Below are 18,249 nucleotides of genomic sequence, written 5' to 3'. Positions count from 1 at the left end.
TCACTGCAGCCTTGACTTGTGGGCTCAAGCAATCCTTCCACCTCAGCCTCCCAAGTAGCTGGGAATATAGGCATGAGCCACAACACCCAGCTAATTTTTTTTGTATTTTTTGTAGAGATGGGATTTTCCCATGTTGCCCAGGCTGGTCTGAAACCCCTGGGCTCAAGCAATTCTCCTGCTTCCGCCTCCTAAGTTGCTGGGATTACAGGTATGACCCACTGCACCTGGCTAACATAACTCTTATATGCAGTGAGAAACCAAAAGATTCTTTTAACTCACCTTGTTGGGATATTCCTTGTATTGTGATGGTCTGGAATCAAATCCGTATCTCCAAGATATGCCTGCACATACTAAGGTCTATAGTTTTGAATAATCAAAGTTATTTCATTTATGTACATTTATTTAAGAAATATTTTCACTCACTATGATATAATTTCTTTGGTAGAGATCAGTAGCCTTAGTGATGGGCAAGGTTTAATATATCTTTATCCATGACATTGCTACTAAGCATGTTTCAATTGAATGCAAGTCTCAGACAAGAGTTTGTCCACATAAAATCTTTTTGGCAAGCAAGCTCAGTGATAATCTTCCTCATGTTCTCTAAGCTCTAGGAAGAACTAGTTTTCTGTCCTTGATGTGCTCTCATCAGCACTGTGCACAAAATGCTTCTCCTGGTACATGAAACAATATTCTAGCAGAAATATCAACAAGCTCTCCTGTCAGGTTTGATTATAGGTATGATTGGACTCCTAAGTTTGGGATGCATTTCTAAAGTGTATAAGTTACTGGTTTCACTGGGTTCTTTTGTCTGATACATACAAAGTAGAATTCCTTAAAAAAAATTCTTGCTAACTGATATAGTTTGGCTCTCTGTCCCCACCCAAATCTTATCTTGTAGCTCCCATAATTCCCACATGTTGTGGGAGGTACTCGGTGGGAGATGATTGAATCACAGGGGGTGGGTCTTTCCCATGCTGTTCATGTGATAGTGAATGGATCTCATGAGATCCGTTCACGTGGTAGTGAACAGATCTCATGAGATCAGATGGTTTTAAAAGCGGGAGTTTCTCTGCACAAGTCCTCTCTTTGCCTGCTGACATCCATATAAGATATGACTTGCTCCTCCTTGCCTTCTGCCATGATTGCAAGGCTTCCCCAGCCACATTGAAATGTAAATCCATTAAACCTCTTTCTTTGTAAATTGCCCAGTCTTGGGAATATCTTTATCAGCAGTGTGAAAATGGACTGATACAGTAAATTAGTACCAGTAGAGTAGGACCTTGCTGAAAAGATACCCAAAAATGTAGAGGCAACTTTGGAACTGGGTAACAGGCAGATGTTGGAACAGTTTGGAGGACTCAGAAGAAGACAGGAAAATATGGGACAGTTTGGAACTCCCTAGAGATTTGTTGAATGGCTTTGACCAAAATGCCAATAATGGTATGGACAATGAAATCTAGGCTGAGGTGGTATCAGATGGAGATGAAGAACTTGCTGGGAACTGGAGCAAAGGTGACTTGTTATGTTTTAGCAAAGAGACTGGTGGCATTTGTCCCTGCCCTAGAGATTTGTGGAACTTTGAACTTGAGAGAGATGATTTAGGGTATCTGGCAGAAGAAGTTTGTAAGCAGCAAAGCATTCAAGAGGTGACTCAGGTGCTGTTAAAGGCATTAAGTTTTAAAAGGAAAACAGAGCACAAAAGTTCAAAAAATTTGCAGCCTGACAATGTGATAGAAAATAAAATCCCATTTTCTGAGGAGAAATTCAATCAGGCTGCAGAAATTTGAATAAGTAAGGAGGAGTCAGATGTTAATCCCCAAGACAATGGGGAAAATGTGGCCAGGGCATGTCAGAGGTCCTCATGACAGCCCCTCCCATCACAGGCCTGGAGGCCTAGGAGGAAAAAGTGGTTTCCTGGGCTAGGCCCAGGGTCCCCATGCTGTATGCAGCCTAGGGATTTGGTGCCGTGCATCCCAGCCACTCTAACCCTGGCTGAAAGGTGCCAACATAGAGCTTGGGCTGTGGCCGCAGAGAGTGCAAGCCTCAAACCTTGGCAGCCTCCATGTGGTGTTGACCCTATAAGTGCACAGAAGTCAAGAATTAAGGTTTGGGAACCTCTGCCTAGATTTCAGAAAATGTATGAAAATGCCTGGATGCTCAGGCAGAAGTTTGCTGTAGGGGTAGGGTCCTCTTGAAGAACCTCTGCTAGGGCAGTGCAGAAGTGAAATGTGGAGTGGGAGCCCCCACACAGAGTCCCTACTGGGACACTGCCTAGTGGAACTGTGAGAAGAGGGGCACTGTACTCCAGACCCCAGAATGGTAGATCCACTGATAGCTTGCACCATGCACACAGAAATGCTACAGACACTCAACACCAGTCCATGAAGGCAGCTGAAAGGGAGACTATACTCTGCAAAACCATAAGGGTAGGGCTTCCCAAGACCGTGGGAACCCACCTTTTACATCAGCATGACCCAGATGTGAGACATGGAGTCAAAGGATTTGTCTCCTTTGCATGGAGTCAAAGCATTTTGGAGCTGTAAAGTTTGACTGCCCTGCTGGACTTTCAGGGGCCCTGTAGTCCCTTTGTTTTGGTCAATTTCTATAATTTGGAATGGTTGAATTTACCCAATGTCTGTAGTCCCACTGTATCTAGCAAGGAGCTAACTTGCTTTTTATTTTACAGGCTCATAGGCAGAAATGACTTGCCTTGTGTCAGATGAGACTTTGGACTGTGGACTGTTGAGTTAATGCTGAATTGATTTGAGACTTAGGGGGACCATTGGGAAGGCATGATTGGTTTTCAAATGTGAAGACATGAGATTTGGGAGGGGCCAGGGGCTAAATGATATGATTTGGCTCTGTGTCCCTACCCAAATCTCATCTTTTAGCTCCCATAATTCCCACATGTTTTGGTAGGGACTTAGTGGGAGATGATTGAATCACGGGGTGGGTCTTTTCCATGCTGTTCTCATGATAGTGAATGAGTCTCATGAGATCTGATGCTTTTAAACATGGGAGTTTCCCTGCATAAGTCCTCTCTTTACCTGCTGTCATCCATGTAAAATGTGACTTGCTCCTCCTGGCCTTCTGCTATGATTGTGAGCTCTCCTCAGCCACATAGAAATGAAAGTCCATTAAACCTCTTTTTTTTTTTTTTTTTTTTTTTGTAAATTGCCCAGTCTTGGATATATCTTTATCAGCAGCATGAAAACAGACTAATAAACTAAAGTATAGGCAATGAACATCTTTCTAGCATATAGATACTGAACATCTTATTAAACAAGCAAAGAAATTATTTCAATAACATTTAAATAATTTATAATGGTAAATAATGAATCTTTTTATATTTAGCACAGACAAAGGTGGTTGAAAACATTGGAGTAGCTGCAGGTCTGATGTGAACATTTGACTAGAATATTTCAAATATTAATTTACCATTCTGTGGTGGGTGTGGATTTCTGATCAAATTTAAATATCATGTACATATTGAAAGATTTCAAAATTAATGACAGATATTACATTCACTTGTATCTCTTAAGAACTCATTTTTTTGAATATAGAATTTGATGTACAGAGAGATTAAATATATGCCTAACATTACGTAGTGGTAAATTGCTGACCAAAATTTGACAAAGGCTTGTTTAATCTCAAAGTTCTTACTCTAATCCTATATTACTCCCTTTACAAGAGTTAACCACCTAGGTTTACAGAGAGACAGATAATCATAATGCAGTTTAATTAGTGCAGCAATAGTGATTTTCCACAGGTATATTTGGACGAGATAGAATTGGTACCCCATTAAGTTGGGAGCTGGGGGATAAAGCTGGATGTTGAAGGAGTAGTTGGTTGAAGGCATAGGAAAAGCAGGTTCAGGAAAGGCAACATTGGCTATAAGTGAGTTTTCTGTTTGAGGAGATTTAAAAAGCCTGTGACAAATGGTGAAAGGTTTATTTTCTTCATTGATGAAATTGGTCAGGGTATTGTAGGCAGCAGAAAATAGTTGAAATGTTTCACATAAAAGAAGCACATTTTAAATAAATCTTTGTGGCAAACGCATAAAGGATTGATTTGAAAAAGACAAAACTAGAGTCAAGGAGATCAACTGGAGGGTTTTTAGAGTAAATTAGGAGGAAAAGACTTTGTCTAAACTTGGAGAGATATGGGTTAAGTAAAGGTTATGGAAGGGATGAACATGAGAAATGTAAACCTTTTGGATTTGTGAGTAATTGACTAAATTCAGGTGGAATGTTGCTTAAGAAAGATGAATCAAGGATTACTTCCAAAGTTCTATCTTGGGTAAGTGGTTGATTACACATGGTGAGGGTGGGATTTGGGATAGCAGAATGATTTCTGTTACGAACATACTGAATTGTGTTGCTCATGGATAGCTAAATAAAGGACAAAGCTTAACAATAGTTTCCTTGAAGCTGTCTCAAAATTTCTGTAAGAATAAAACTGTTCTTTCCTATTTTCCAAATAGTTTTATTTTATGATAAGGAATGAAAGGCAACGTGTTTTGCAGGTTCATGTTCCTCTGTCCATACATAGTATTTATCAGTGGTACTGTGCCAGCCAATTTGTTTTGAAAAAAAAAAAAAAAAAAACAGTGGCTTTTACCATGCTTTCATATACGTAATTAATTTCATTGTAAAAATAATGATATCTCCTGTCAAGCCTGGCTTCATTCATCAGTTCGAAATGTATCCTTATGAGTTATCATCTATTCAGAGGATAAAGCTGAAAATTAACATCCATGAGGTTTGGAGATTCTATATATGACACATGCACAGAGAAGTGAGTTAGAATTATTTGCAATAGATTTAGATTTACACAAGTAGTTAAGTTAGATTTCTATGTCTGAAAATAACAATTCTTGTCATTTTCCAAATGATTTATATGACCAAGATTGCTAACATTTCAGGCAATACTCAGTCCCATAGTGGGTGAAAATAATAAAATAGTTTCTATTATATGGTGCTTAGTATATATTACATATCCTATTCGTTATTTTACACTTACTGAGCTACATTCTCATTTATTTTAATCCTCTTAACAATCCTATGCCTTTTTTAAGGTATGATAAAGCTGAGGCATACAGAAAGGTAAGTAACACGTCCAAGATCACATAACTAGTTACTGACACAGCTGAGACTCAGACTCATGCTTCTCACTCTGAAATTCATGATTTTCATCAACACACTATTGAGAATAATATTATTATATATGTTAGCTTTGATATGCTCTAATTACAAAAATAGATCAATAACATGCAAGAGTTTGTATTTTACTGTGATTTTTAATTTTTGTTTTACTCGGATGGATGGATACTCACACTCTTGTGTATCATGACACTGTTAAAAACATAGAAAAGATTATTAGAGCATAGCGAATTTTAAAAACTATGAAAAATAAAGCAGAAACTAATAAAAGAGAGTCTAGATCGATACTTTGTATGCAGCAAGGATGCAATAAATATTTGGAGAATAAATGGAAGAAATGACAATTGGTACATCTGATTCATTTACATAAAAATTGAATAAATAGGGTTCTTGTTTAGGATTATTTAGTATTATGTATTGAGCATGAAAAATGTTTGCCATGAACAAATATTTTGATCTTAGTATTATTAATATTGAGCAGTTCTTTCTAATATTAATTACACCAGAGTACCTACCAGCTTCCCAGCTATCCATTTCATTTTATTGTATGTTTTTATTGCAAAAATAATATATAATCATTTATATTTGAAGATAAGTTACAAAGTATAAAGATAAGGAAGAAAATAAAATCACCCATAACTGAATCATTAAAGAGATTACTGCTATTAACACTTTGAAAAATAGGTTTCATAAGAATTACGTTGCAAGTACCAATGCCTGGATGATACAATGAACGAAGGTCAATTGTATTGCACAATTAAGTCGCAGTCCACATTCTTGTTCTTTTAAGGGTTAAAACCTAATTTCCAGTGACATGTGATCCTTTACTATCTAATATTGATGAAAATTAAGCAGTTAAAGATGAAAATCCTTTAACAAATAATGTATGCAATTGTCCCTTGGTATCTGTGGGGGATTGGTTCTAGGAACCAGATAGATATCAAAATCCATGACTGCTCAATTTCTTATGTAAAATAGCATATCATTTGCATGTAACCCACACTCATTATTCTATATACTTTAATATCTAGATTACTTATAATACATAATATAATGAAAATGCTATGTAAATAGTTATCATACTGTATTTTATTTGTATTATTTTATTGTATTTTTATTTTTCATTTATTTATTTTGCCAAATTTTTTTTATCTCCAATTGATTGAATTCACAGATTCATACCAATGGATATAGAGGGGCAACTGTATTTCCTTTAACAGAAATTGTCTTTGAATGAGGGTAAGATTAGAATTATAGAATATTTTTCGAAGAAAATGTGATTATTTATAGAAATACATAATGCATAAGAGATTATCTCCAGCCTTCTCAGATTCATAGCTCTAAGGTTCCTTCTGGTGTTAAATGCTTTGAGCCAAGTTCTGATTTTACCTGATTAGCTTCCTAAGTAAAAAAATGATAGCTAACATTTATTGAGCCCCTGCTAACTGCACTGAAGATTGCCTGACCCTGCAAGGTAGTAAGGCAACATTTTTATTTCTTTATGTTTTGGGAAATTGAAGGGTAAGATCTGTTAGAGGCAGAAAATTAGAAAGTTTATTATGCAGAAATAAAACAAGAGTCCATCGAGATCTCAGGAGAGATCTGGAAAACTATCAGGATCCTCAGGGTCCTCCCTTGACCTGTTTGTGTGTGTCTGGCTAACTTTATCTGTTATGCTGATCTATGGTAAAACATCGGTTCCAAACAGACGTTCTTTATGTACTCAAACTCTATGAATTACAATCCTAAATATCCAAGGTACCTTTATCTCAAACAATGGTGGTCAAGAAGCCGGATTCAGGCAGTACACACATAGCTGTTTCGATTTTCCCTGTGTATAGTGGTACTTTTCAGACAGTGGTAGTAATGAGTTTAAAGACAATCTAAAAGTTACCTTCTACATTGAAACTCAGGAAAGCTTAATTTGCAATTGATCACATTTAATCAGAATGTCCCTAGGTCTGTCTTGCAACAAAGCCCTTGTTCTTTCTACTATACATTACAGACTCACCATAGATAAAATAGCATCTATAAGTTGATTCATTTTTTTACTAATTTGTTGAGTTATTTTATAGCTAAACTGTCAGCTATAAAAGTTGTTTTGTGTTTTGTAAATATGTACATTCTGGTTGTTTTAAAGATACATTACTGGAAAAAGTACAAAAATCTGTTCCCTTTTGCAGCTCACTGAAGAAATATATAAAGCCATACTCAAACAAATCAGATTTTAACCACAGTATTTTATTAAAAATTGGGTAATTCCTCAAAGTAAAACAACCTAATATGTTGCTTTATTATTTTCTTCTTGAAATTGTATATAATGCTAATGAATTAAAAATCCAAATCACCATGTAGCATATTTTTCTTATTCCAAAAGCATCCTGATAGTGGTGGAAGTCAAGCTTTAAAATTTTGGTAAGGTTACTGATTATTTAAATGGACAATGCCTAGCAATTCCTCCCCAACTCCATTTTTTCTTTGCTTTTCTGTATTATTATTATTATTATTATTATTATTTTGGTTAGAAAACACATAACACAACATCTACCTCCTTAACGATTTTAACTATACAGTACAGTACTGTACTGTATGTACTGTAATAGATGAACATTATTGTACAGCAGATCTCTGTAACTATTTTACATGATCATGGTGCATGATCCTTTTCGTGTGCATCTATGTTTATCAGGGATATTTGCCTATAGTTTTCTTTTCTCATAGTGTCTTTGGCTGGCTTTGGTATTAGACTACTGCTGAATAAAATGGGTTTGGGAATGTTCCTCTTCTTCATTTTTTTGGAAGCGTTTACGAAGGATTAGTATGAGTTCTTTACATGTTTGGTAGAATTCTCCAATAAAGCAATCTGGTCCTGGATTTTTCATTGTTGGGAGCCTTTTGACTATGATTCAACCTCCTTGTTGTTTGTAGGTCTGTTAGAACTTTCTATTTTTTTCATGATTTATTATTGGTAATATTTTCCTAGGAGTGTATCCATTTCTAAGTTATCCAGGTTGTTGGTATATAATTGTTCATAACAGCTTCTATAATCCTTTTTATGTCTGTAGTGTCAGTTACAATGTCTTGTCCTTCACTAATAATTTTATTTATCTAAGTCTTCTTTCTCTTTTCTTAAGCTAGATAACGATTTGTCAATTAAAAGAAATTCTCCAAAAAGCCTACTCATAGTTTTATTAATTTTTCTATATTAAGTTTTCTAGTCTTGATTTCATTTATTTCTTCTCTGACCTTTATTATTTCCTTCCTTCTGCTAACTTTCAGCTTAGTTCGTTCTTCATTTTCTAGTTCCATGATACAGAAAATTAGGTTACTTATTTAAGATAAGTATTTTGTTTGTTTATTTGTTTTGAGATGAAGTCTTCCACTACCCTCCAGGCTGGTGTGCAGTGGCGCAATCTCAGCTCACTGCAACCTCTACCTCCCATGTTCAAGCGATTCTCCTGTCTCAGCCTCTCGAGTAGCTAGGATTACAGGTGCCTGCCACCACACCTGGCTAATTTTTTTGTATTTTTAGTTGAGATGAGGTTTCACTATGTTGGCCAGGCTGGTCTTGAACTCTTGACTTCATGATCTGCCAGCCTCGGCCTCCCAAAGTGCTGGGATTACAGGTGTGAGCCACTGTGACCGGCCGATATAAGTATTTTTTTTTTCAACATAGCTGTATACTGTTACAAACTTTCCACTTAGTACTGCTTTTGCAGCATTCTTAAGTTTGTTGTTATGATTTGTTTCAAGATATTTTCTAATTTCCCTTTTGACATCTTCTGTGATTCCTTGGGTCAAATGTATTATTTAATTAACAGATATTTGTGAAATTTCAGTTTTTCTTTCAATATTTATTTCTTTTTAAATTAGTTTTTTTTATTAAATTTTCATGGGTACCTAGTAAGTGTGTATATTTATGGGGTACCTGAGATGTTTTGATACAGTTACGTAATGTGAAATAAGCACATCATGGAGAATGGGGTTTCCATCCCCTCAAGCATTTATTGTTTGGTTCATTCTATTTTGAATAGAGAAGATTACTGGAATGATTAAAGCTTTTTAAATTTGTTCAGATTTTTGTGTCTGACATGTGAATTATCCTGGATAATGCTTTGAGTGTGCTTGAGAGGGATGCCTGTTCTGCTGCTGTTAGGGGAATGTTCCGTATATGACTGTTAGGTACCATTGGTCTACAGTGTTTTCATATCTGCTATTTCCTTGTTGATTTTCTGTCTGGATTCTCTATCCGTTTTTGAAAGCGGGGTTGAAACTCCCCTAGTATTATTGTGTTACATTTTATTTCTGCCTTCCATTAAGTCGGTGTTTGTCATATATAAGTGAGTTTTCTGAAGTTGAGTAAATATACGTGTTTTACCTTCCTAGTAATTTGACTCTTGTTATTCTATGATATCTTTGTCTTTTGTGACATTTTTCGATTCAAAGTATATTTTGTCTGAGAGAAGTTTGGCCATTTCTAATTTTTTATTATCATTTACATAGAATACCTTTTCCATTCCTTTCCCTTTCAGCCTATGTGTTTCTTTAAATATAAAGTGGGTCTCTTGTAGAGATTGCATAGTTGAATCTTATTTTTATTTTTTAAATACATTTAGCCATTCTATTTCTCTTGATCAAAGAGTTCAACCATTTACATTTAAATTGATTACTGATAAGTGAGTACTTACAATTGCCTTTTCTTAGTTGTTTCTGTCTGTCTTGTAGCTCTTTAGTCCTTTTCTTTTCTTGCTCTCTTCCTTTGTAATTTTGTTGACTGTTTGCAGCTGTTGGAGGCCGCACAAATGTTTCTTATAATGAGGCATAATTGAAGCCTGTCAGTAACAATATGAACCTGTGGTCAATTAAGCAGCTGACCAATCGTTACCTCCTCCTTCTTGCTCTTGTTACCCAATAAATAAGAAGGGTTGTGGAAGCTCAGGGGCTGCCTTTCCTCACTAGAAGCAGGGAGCTCTCTTCTTCCCCATGCTAGCCTTTCCTTAAAATAGTTACTTTTGTTTTCTGTTATGATTTCTATGTTCGTCCGTTCATTCAGTCTTGTAATGACAGTCTCAAGCAGTAACAGCAGTAACTGCTGTAATGACGGTCTCAAGTAGTAGTAGTGGCAGTCGGCCACATTTTATAATTTCTATCTCTTTGCTGATATTCTCATTTTGATTATGTATCATTTTCCTGAGCTCACTGAGCACCTTAATGTCTGTCATTTTAAATTTTTTCACAGATAATCTATATACTTTCACTTCTTTATGACCAGTTTCTAGAGTTTTAGTTTGGAATGGACCACGTTTTATTGTTTTACCATGCGTCTTGTAACTTTTTGTTGAAATTCATTCATTTGAAAAACAACCACTTCTCCCCATCTTTGAAGATAGACATCATACAGGTAAGACCTTTGTCAATCAGCCAAGCTAGAGATTCTGAGGGTTTCTCCAACATTTTCTGTAGATGCATCTTCCTTGAACATCTGTGTATAAATTCCCAATTAGAGGAGTTCGCCAGTTTCTTTTTTAGGACCTTGTAATCACTTGCTCTTTCTGGTGTTTGCCCATGACACTGAAGATTCTTTGTAGCTGCCACAAGCCACACAGCTTTCATTTGTTCTCAACAGCTTCCAGGACCCTAGAGTATGCTGGGTCCTGTCAGGACTCTGAGTTAGGTGAGACACAAACAGTCCCTCAAACAGTGTCCGCAAAAGTCAGAAAGTTGGATAAACACTTCATTCTTCTCTTTACCCACTGAGAGAGAGCCCATCAAGTTGTTTCAGCCTCCATCTGCTTATTCCAAATCCTCTGCAGCAGCAGCAGGCAGCTCAGTTCTCTTTGCTTCTCAAGGGCCTTCAGACATCTAGAATACGCTGGGTCCTGTCAGCACTTTGACGCAGATGAGACAGAAACCGGTCCCTAGGGCTACCCTCCAAAAAACCAGAATGTTGGACACACATTCTACCTCTTTCCCTCTCCATGAAGAAGTTACAAGTTGAGGATTTTCTCTCACCCCTTCAGCACTGAGTTGAAATGAGGAAGACTTTGGCAAGAGAGTTTATGTAGTCTAAACATTTGTCTTTGTTCTCAGAGACTGTCCAGACTAAAACCTTTTTTGTCAGTGCTTAGATTCAGGCAAAACAGAAACTAGTTCATCTAGCAGCCCCCTGCAAAGTGTTGACTTTGGACATGTGTTTCAGTCTTTTATTTCCCTTTCCAGGGAGAAGACAGAAACTGGAAGTTCCTTCTCAATTGGACTTTACTGAGCTAGCAGGTAGGGCTCTAATGAGTGAGTGCCACAGTTTTTTTTTTGGTTTGTTTTTTGTTTATTTTGTTTTTTTTTTTTTTTTACCAGCTTTGATGCAGCTGATTTTGCATTCACCTAGGGTTCAGGAGACTTTTAACTGTTTTCACTGTTTCTCACAAAGGAAATTAATCTGTGTATTGTTGGATCAGTATCTCTGTTGGGGGGGAAGGGGATCTGGAGATTCCTATTCTACCATCTTACTGACATCAGCTTTCTACATTTTCATTTTGAGTCAGACTCATCTTCTAGTGATGTGGAGTAGCAGAGAGAGTGGGATATAGTTAATTCAATTGTGTTGGCAAAATCAAGGTTGTGTGGTTGGGATTAATTTATAAGTTTAGAATATGCCAAAAGTTCATCTGAAACATTTGAGACTTGAGTAATAATGTGGTATTTCAAACATATTTTCTAAATTTTGTTTGTTTTACTTCTATAGCAGTTATCTGGTTTGATCCTTAGAAAATACCTTTTGTAACTGTATCATCTTTGGTTTCACAGAGATAGTATCAGTGAGTTCTTTCTTATTACAAACAGATTCTTTGGCAGGATAATCTAAGGATTTTTCCTTAAATATTTTTGTGTCCTTTGTGAAACTATGGTAAAATGTATTGTCTAGTAGATTAGTAACTGTCTTTTATATGACAAGCTATGCATTTAAATGGTCTACATTACAATATTAGGAAAAAGGTTTTTCTTTCTGTAATTATATGCTTTTTAAAATTAGGCAATGATAATTAAATAACATTTTGCTTTAGTTTTTAAGAACATAATGAAAATATTAGTACTAAATTTATAAAAACTAAATTTATTCATTCAAGTAATTAAAAATTATATTATAGTTTTTTATGAAATTTCATTAATGGATTGTAACATTTTAATTGTATTAACCTATTTGTTTTAATAAGTAACATTAAATCAATCACAGAAGTAGTCTAAGAGATTTGAAGCACACAAATGAGCTATTTTTTCTACTTACATTGATTTATTAAGGCCTCACATAGGCATTCATTTCAAATACATGAATTCCTCCTGATCTGTTTTTTAAAGACATTAGTGATTTATGTGTTTCAAGGCAACTGTGGGGAAAAAAAGCCAAAAATATTAGTTTCCAAGGTTAAATTTTTAAAAAGAAAAAACAAAATCATTAAATAGTTGTATAATAAAATGTAGTGAAACAAGTTTGTGAGAAAGTAGCCTCTGATCATGAGAAGTTTATACTTGTATCAGCAAAATACTGCCCATTTGTTGACAAAAAATATGAATAGGAATTAAATATTTATTTAGACAATTTTTATAATTTGAGTTTTAGATATTTTGTACTAGACAGGAGAAATATTTGAGCTGTCTGTGAGCTATATGTATAAACGTATATTTCAAAGACAAACCTTGATATATTACCACCTAAAACCTCAACAAAAATTCTATTCTTAAAAATCAAGACAATTTATATCCCTGGAGCTCTACTAATTTCATAGCTGTATAGTTTAACTAAGTCAATAGGTTATACATAAAATATGGTTGAGATATTTTTCAAGACAGCTTTTCCTTATGCATGTGAGCAAGACTGTACAATAGAAATAGGATAAAGGGAATTCAAATAAAACCTTTTGTTTGTTATCATAGTTATTTATTATGTTCACGCTAATGAATAGTCACAGATGGTGTTTTTCTATTAACTTCAAGGCTTGAAAGCAAGATACGTCTTACAGTTCTTGTAGTGTGTGCCATTTATTTCTTGACTCTGGTTACAATGTTGAGTATGACACTAAAATCTCTAAGAGAACAATGTGATCTACTGAGAAACTAGTCAACTTTTGAAGCTATGGCACTCTTAAAGAATATTCCTTCTTTTTGGGATATTAAAGTGTCAAGCTTTTCTTAAGATAGAAGGAAAGAATTTAATAACAACAGTCTGAACTATCTACCTTTTACTCCTCCTAAGTGATCATGTAGAAAATTTTCATCTGAATAACTGGCAATCATGGTTATCTAATTATTATAAATTTCCTCCCTGTACAAAGCACAATTTTAAATAATTATTTCAATTATAATATATGTCTAATTTTTCTTATCCTAGGTAGTATTTTGAAAATTCTTAATATTAAACAGTTGTTCAGATAATTATAAAGGCTTTCTTGCCTCTCAAAGATAACCTAGATATAATCATATTCTTCAATATTATAATTATTAAATAAGAGAGTACCTTTCAGGAATTTCTTTTTGAAATTAAATACTAAAAATGATGTTCGAAATGCAAAAATAACTGAAGAACTCTTATCCATCACATGTACAATCCAAAATTCACCTGGAACCAGCCAAGAAAATTAAATATATGTGCATTTAATACACACATATATGCAGTTTATGTGTGTGTGTGTGTGTGTGTGTGTGTGTGTATTTGAGCAGTTAAAATACATGTCACTAACCTCATTCCCCATGCTAACGTTTATAGGAAAAGGCTTAATATTCAGCCAGTACACACTGGTTTGAACACAGTAGTTGTTAATTTATTGAATGAATTCCAAATGGTTTCAAATACTTTTCAGAGTTGCAGCTGCCCTTGGCCTATACTCCAAAAGCCTCAGTCCTCTTAATAATGCTGCACTCAAAGGATATACAGATGGAGAGTTTCAGAATCCTGCTTCCGTGCTGTGTCTGGTGCTCAAGTTCATCAGGCAGTACACATACCATATTGGTTGTTAAGTATTGCATATAGCCTGTGCATAGGAGAGCTTCTAATTCTTTATTTCAAGTATTTTCAATCTAATATTAGACAAACATCTAATGAGCTACGTTTTAGAACTGTTACATTGTTACATTTCTATATGCTTCTGTGGTTAGGGTAAAACAGCTATAACATAACACCGACATTAATTTAAATATTCTGTTTTTATCATTTTTAGTTGCATTTAAATAAAAATAAATTGATAAAATGTAAAGAGCAAACATGTGTAAAGACAAAGCAGCTAAGAGAAACTTACAGTCATTATCAATATAAATTTGTTGAATTCAATCATACTTATATTTCAATTATTTCTAAAGATACTACTGTGTTGTACCAATGTCTAGAAATTATCAGTTCATCATAACGTAATTATAAAACTATGTTCTGTGTCCTTAGTGAAAGAACTGTTTAATACATTTTATATATATTTTTATCAAAAATATTTAAAATGTAAAAAGACTTTAAGCTTAAATTAGACATGACTAGCAGATTACTCCTTAACAGTAATTGTTAAATAGGGTGTTGCCCTTCCTTGATAACTAAGTATATGGATCGTTTGCTTTACTTGAAAGGCAGTTTTCCTGGTTTCAAGTACAATGTCTGAATTCAAACAAAAGTATCTGATAAATAATTGTACCTTAGCTGAAGGTTAGATATTATATAGCCACTGTCAAAAGAGAGAATAATAATAAATTGCATAAGCATATGGTAAGCCAAATACTATGAACTCTTAAAAATTCAATGAGTTATTATTTAATCATGCATGTTTACCTGTGTTTATTGTGTTATTTGTATGTGGGGAAAATAGAACAAAAATCCAGACAAAAATACATACAAACAAACCAACACATCTTACATGCACACACATGCAAACACACACACACATACACATATACACACTGACATGTTTTCAAAAAGAATGAAGAAGATGCTTTAGAGAAAAATGTTTGTTTGTCAACTGTTTTAACTTTGCTACTGTAACAATATGATCTGAGAATCTCCAAGAAGTAGGCACTCTGTATATTTTCACAAACATATATAACCAGTGAATATTTTTCCAAGTCACTCCTTGACTTGGTTTATTTTAGGTGTCAGTTTGACTGTACTAAGTAACACCTAGAGAGTTGGTAAAGCATTACTTCTGGTTGTGTCTCTGAGGGTGTTTTCGGAAGAGATTTGTGTGTGAGTCAGTGAACTCAGTGGGGGAAAATCCACCCTCAATGTGGTCAGGCACCATTCCATTGGCTAGGGGCTCAGACAGAAGAAAAAAGAGAAAAACATTTCGTTACTCCCTCCTTCTCTCTCTCTTTTTCTTCTGGATCTGGGACACTCTTCTCTTCCTGACTTTGGACATCAGGACCTCAAGCTCTGTGGCCTTGGTACTCCAGGACTTATACCAGTTGCCCTCTGGGTTCTCAAGCCTTTGGCCTTAGAATAACACTATTGACTTCCCTGGTTCTCAGGCCTTCGGACTTAGACTGAACCACACTATAAGAATCCCAGGGTCTCCAACCTGCAGTTGGCCTGTTGTGGGACTTCTCAGCGTACATGATTATGTCAGCAAATTCCACTAATAAATCCCCTCTCATATTATCTCTCCATATATCCCATTGGTTCTGTCTCTCTGGAGAAGCCTGACCAATACACTCCTGTAAACATCTTTCAAATCAAGACTGCTAATTTACATCAATTTATTAGTTATCTGCAGCTGTAGAAATCAAACAAAGTATATTTAACATTTACAGGTGATTACTCGATACAGCAGAATTTAACAATACTTAGCATATGTTGAGGCAATACAATTACATGATTCATTACAATACTTTTTAGCCAATAAAACTATTAAAAGATATTCTTGCCTTTTCACTTTGAAGTAGAACGTGAGTGTGCAGGATAAGAGAGAAGACATCTTTTTCTTTCTTCCTACTTCTGATTTTCCAGCTCAGTGTTATATTAGAGGCTTCCCACTGCACAGATGGAAGAGGAGGGGAGAAAACTGTAAAGGGGTCTGTGATAGAATGAGGATCATAACATTTAAAATTAAAACAGGATTTCTAAGAGCTGAAGTACTAATAATAATAATAAACATTGAAACACGGCTACAATTTAATTATTGTAAATGGGACAGGATGGTCCTACATGTTCACCCAATTGATCCCTGGTACCTCCAAACTCATTAATGATGTAATCTTAATCATGTCTCTCCAATTTCCTGGGCCATTATAATTTCAACTGTGAAAATAAAAGAAATTAGCTTTAGCACTAAGAGCCTGGATTAAATAATTTCTTAGGGCCATATTTACTTTTAGTATTAATAGTTTTATTATTATTCCCTTAATAAATTGAAATAGAAAATGATATTTGTAATTTCTGTCATAGGAAACAATATGATTGAAAATGAAAATATCTTTTGCTTCACTTCTTATACGTAAGTAAAAAGACATCCTTTAACATCAGTATGTTTTCTCTAAGGTATCATTGATGAAGTCATGTTTTCCAAAACTCTTTGTGTGAATTCTGTGCACTACTGGAGCAAGCACGATGGCATTCACAGGACACATGGACACAGTGTGGCTATAGCTGCAGAGGACATTTTTTATTGTTTATTTTATTAGGTCCTTTGCTTCATGTCTAAAATGATTACATGATTGAATGTATCAGTAGCCTTTAGTAAGCCATAAATACTCAACTTAAATTTGAAAACTGTATGCAACTGGGGATGTTTATTCTAGAATGAAGTATGACAAACATGAAGACCATCCTAAAATATTGAAGGAAAGTAATGTGGGTGAGGCTAAGGTTTATTCTGTGATTTCTGAGAGAATAACTAAGATTCAGTGAGCTTTCTTAGTTCTGAGGGAGAGTGTCTAAGAATGGAATAGATAAACAGAGGAAGTACTGATGTTCTTATCAAAGCAGTTGCTCACACTGAACAAAAATTAATGTTTTATCCCTTAAATGAGTATGTGTTTAAATGACTTCTAGTGGTCCTTTACATTACAAGATGGTTGTCATTGTTATTACTGAAAAACAAGAGCATTTGCTATTTAAGAATGCATTCTTCCTAATATATTTTAACAAACTGGCTTGTTTTTTTTAAAAACTGCTATCACGTTTATTCAGCTCTGTGTATTACAGTTATAGATTTACTGCAATTGCCTTATAGCTGGTTTTCTTCTCTGTGATTCCTACCACTCAGACAAATTCTTCAGGCTATCTCCAGAGCAAATCTCTGCTCTGAACATGAAACTACCCTGTCACCTTTTGTCCTCTCAGCTTTTCACTCCCAGCTCTGCCTATTGAAATCTTAGCTTAAATGCCATTTCCTTATAACACTTTGGCAGGATGCCATCTTTCTCTACCCACCTCTCTCTCTTTAACCACAATCCTTTGATTAATTTTTCTTTTTAAATAATTCTTTTTGGGTATGTGGTACAGTATTTCTCCATTAAATTTCCAACTCATTAAGGACCAAAGACATGCTTATTTATTTTTATATTCTCCAGTGTCTAGCAGTAGTTTAAAAATATACACTTTTTAGTTTTTATTATGACAATTTCAAATGGGTGATGAAAACAGAATAGTATCATTACCTGTACCCATCACCTATATTCAATAATTTTAATACATGATCAACTTCATTTAAAGTCCCCCATAATCTGGCGTAAAGAGATATGTATTGACTTATTGATCCTAAATATTTAACACAAATCTCATGCTTCAGGAAATGCAGGTAAATCTCATTTTCTTGAATTGAAAGTATATGTGCATTATGTCAATATGAGGCATCACTCATGTGTTTTTCACCTTTATATGTATCCTGTATTATTCTGATTCATTTGATGGTGTAGCTGAAGAGTTAGAACATAGGAATAATTTGGTGGCATAGCACAGTGGCTCACTCCTGTAATTCCACCACTTTAGGAGGCTGAGGCAGGAGGATTACTTGAGTCCAGGAATTTGAGACCAGCCTGGGGATCACAGTAAGATTCTGTCTCTACAAAACTTTTAAAAATATTGTCCAGGTATGGTGGTGCATGCCTGTAGTCCCAGCTA

General features: G+C 35.0%; 1 long non-coding RNA gene across 1 annotated transcript; it reads left to right on the top strand.

The window, feature by feature from the left end:
* Nucleotides 1–10,345: 10,345 nt before the first annotated feature.
* On the top strand, nucleotides 10,346–16,739 carry LOC107986050 (uncharacterized). The gene is made up of 3 exons (XR_001740573.1): nucleotides 10,346–10,563; nucleotides 11,382–11,435; nucleotides 16,666–16,739. It is a non-coding gene; the product is annotated as an uncharacterized LOC107986050 (long non-coding RNA).
* The last annotated feature ends 1,510 nt before the right edge of the window (nucleotides 16,740–18,249 follow it).

Source organism: Homo sapiens, chromosome 3, assembly GCF_000001405.40.
Source record: "Homo sapiens chromosome 3, GRCh38.p14 Primary Assembly".
Taxonomy (NCBI): domain Eukaryota; kingdom Metazoa; phylum Chordata; class Mammalia; order Primates; family Hominidae; genus Homo; species Homo sapiens.
This window is presented reverse-complemented; position numbering and strand designations above follow the sequence as displayed.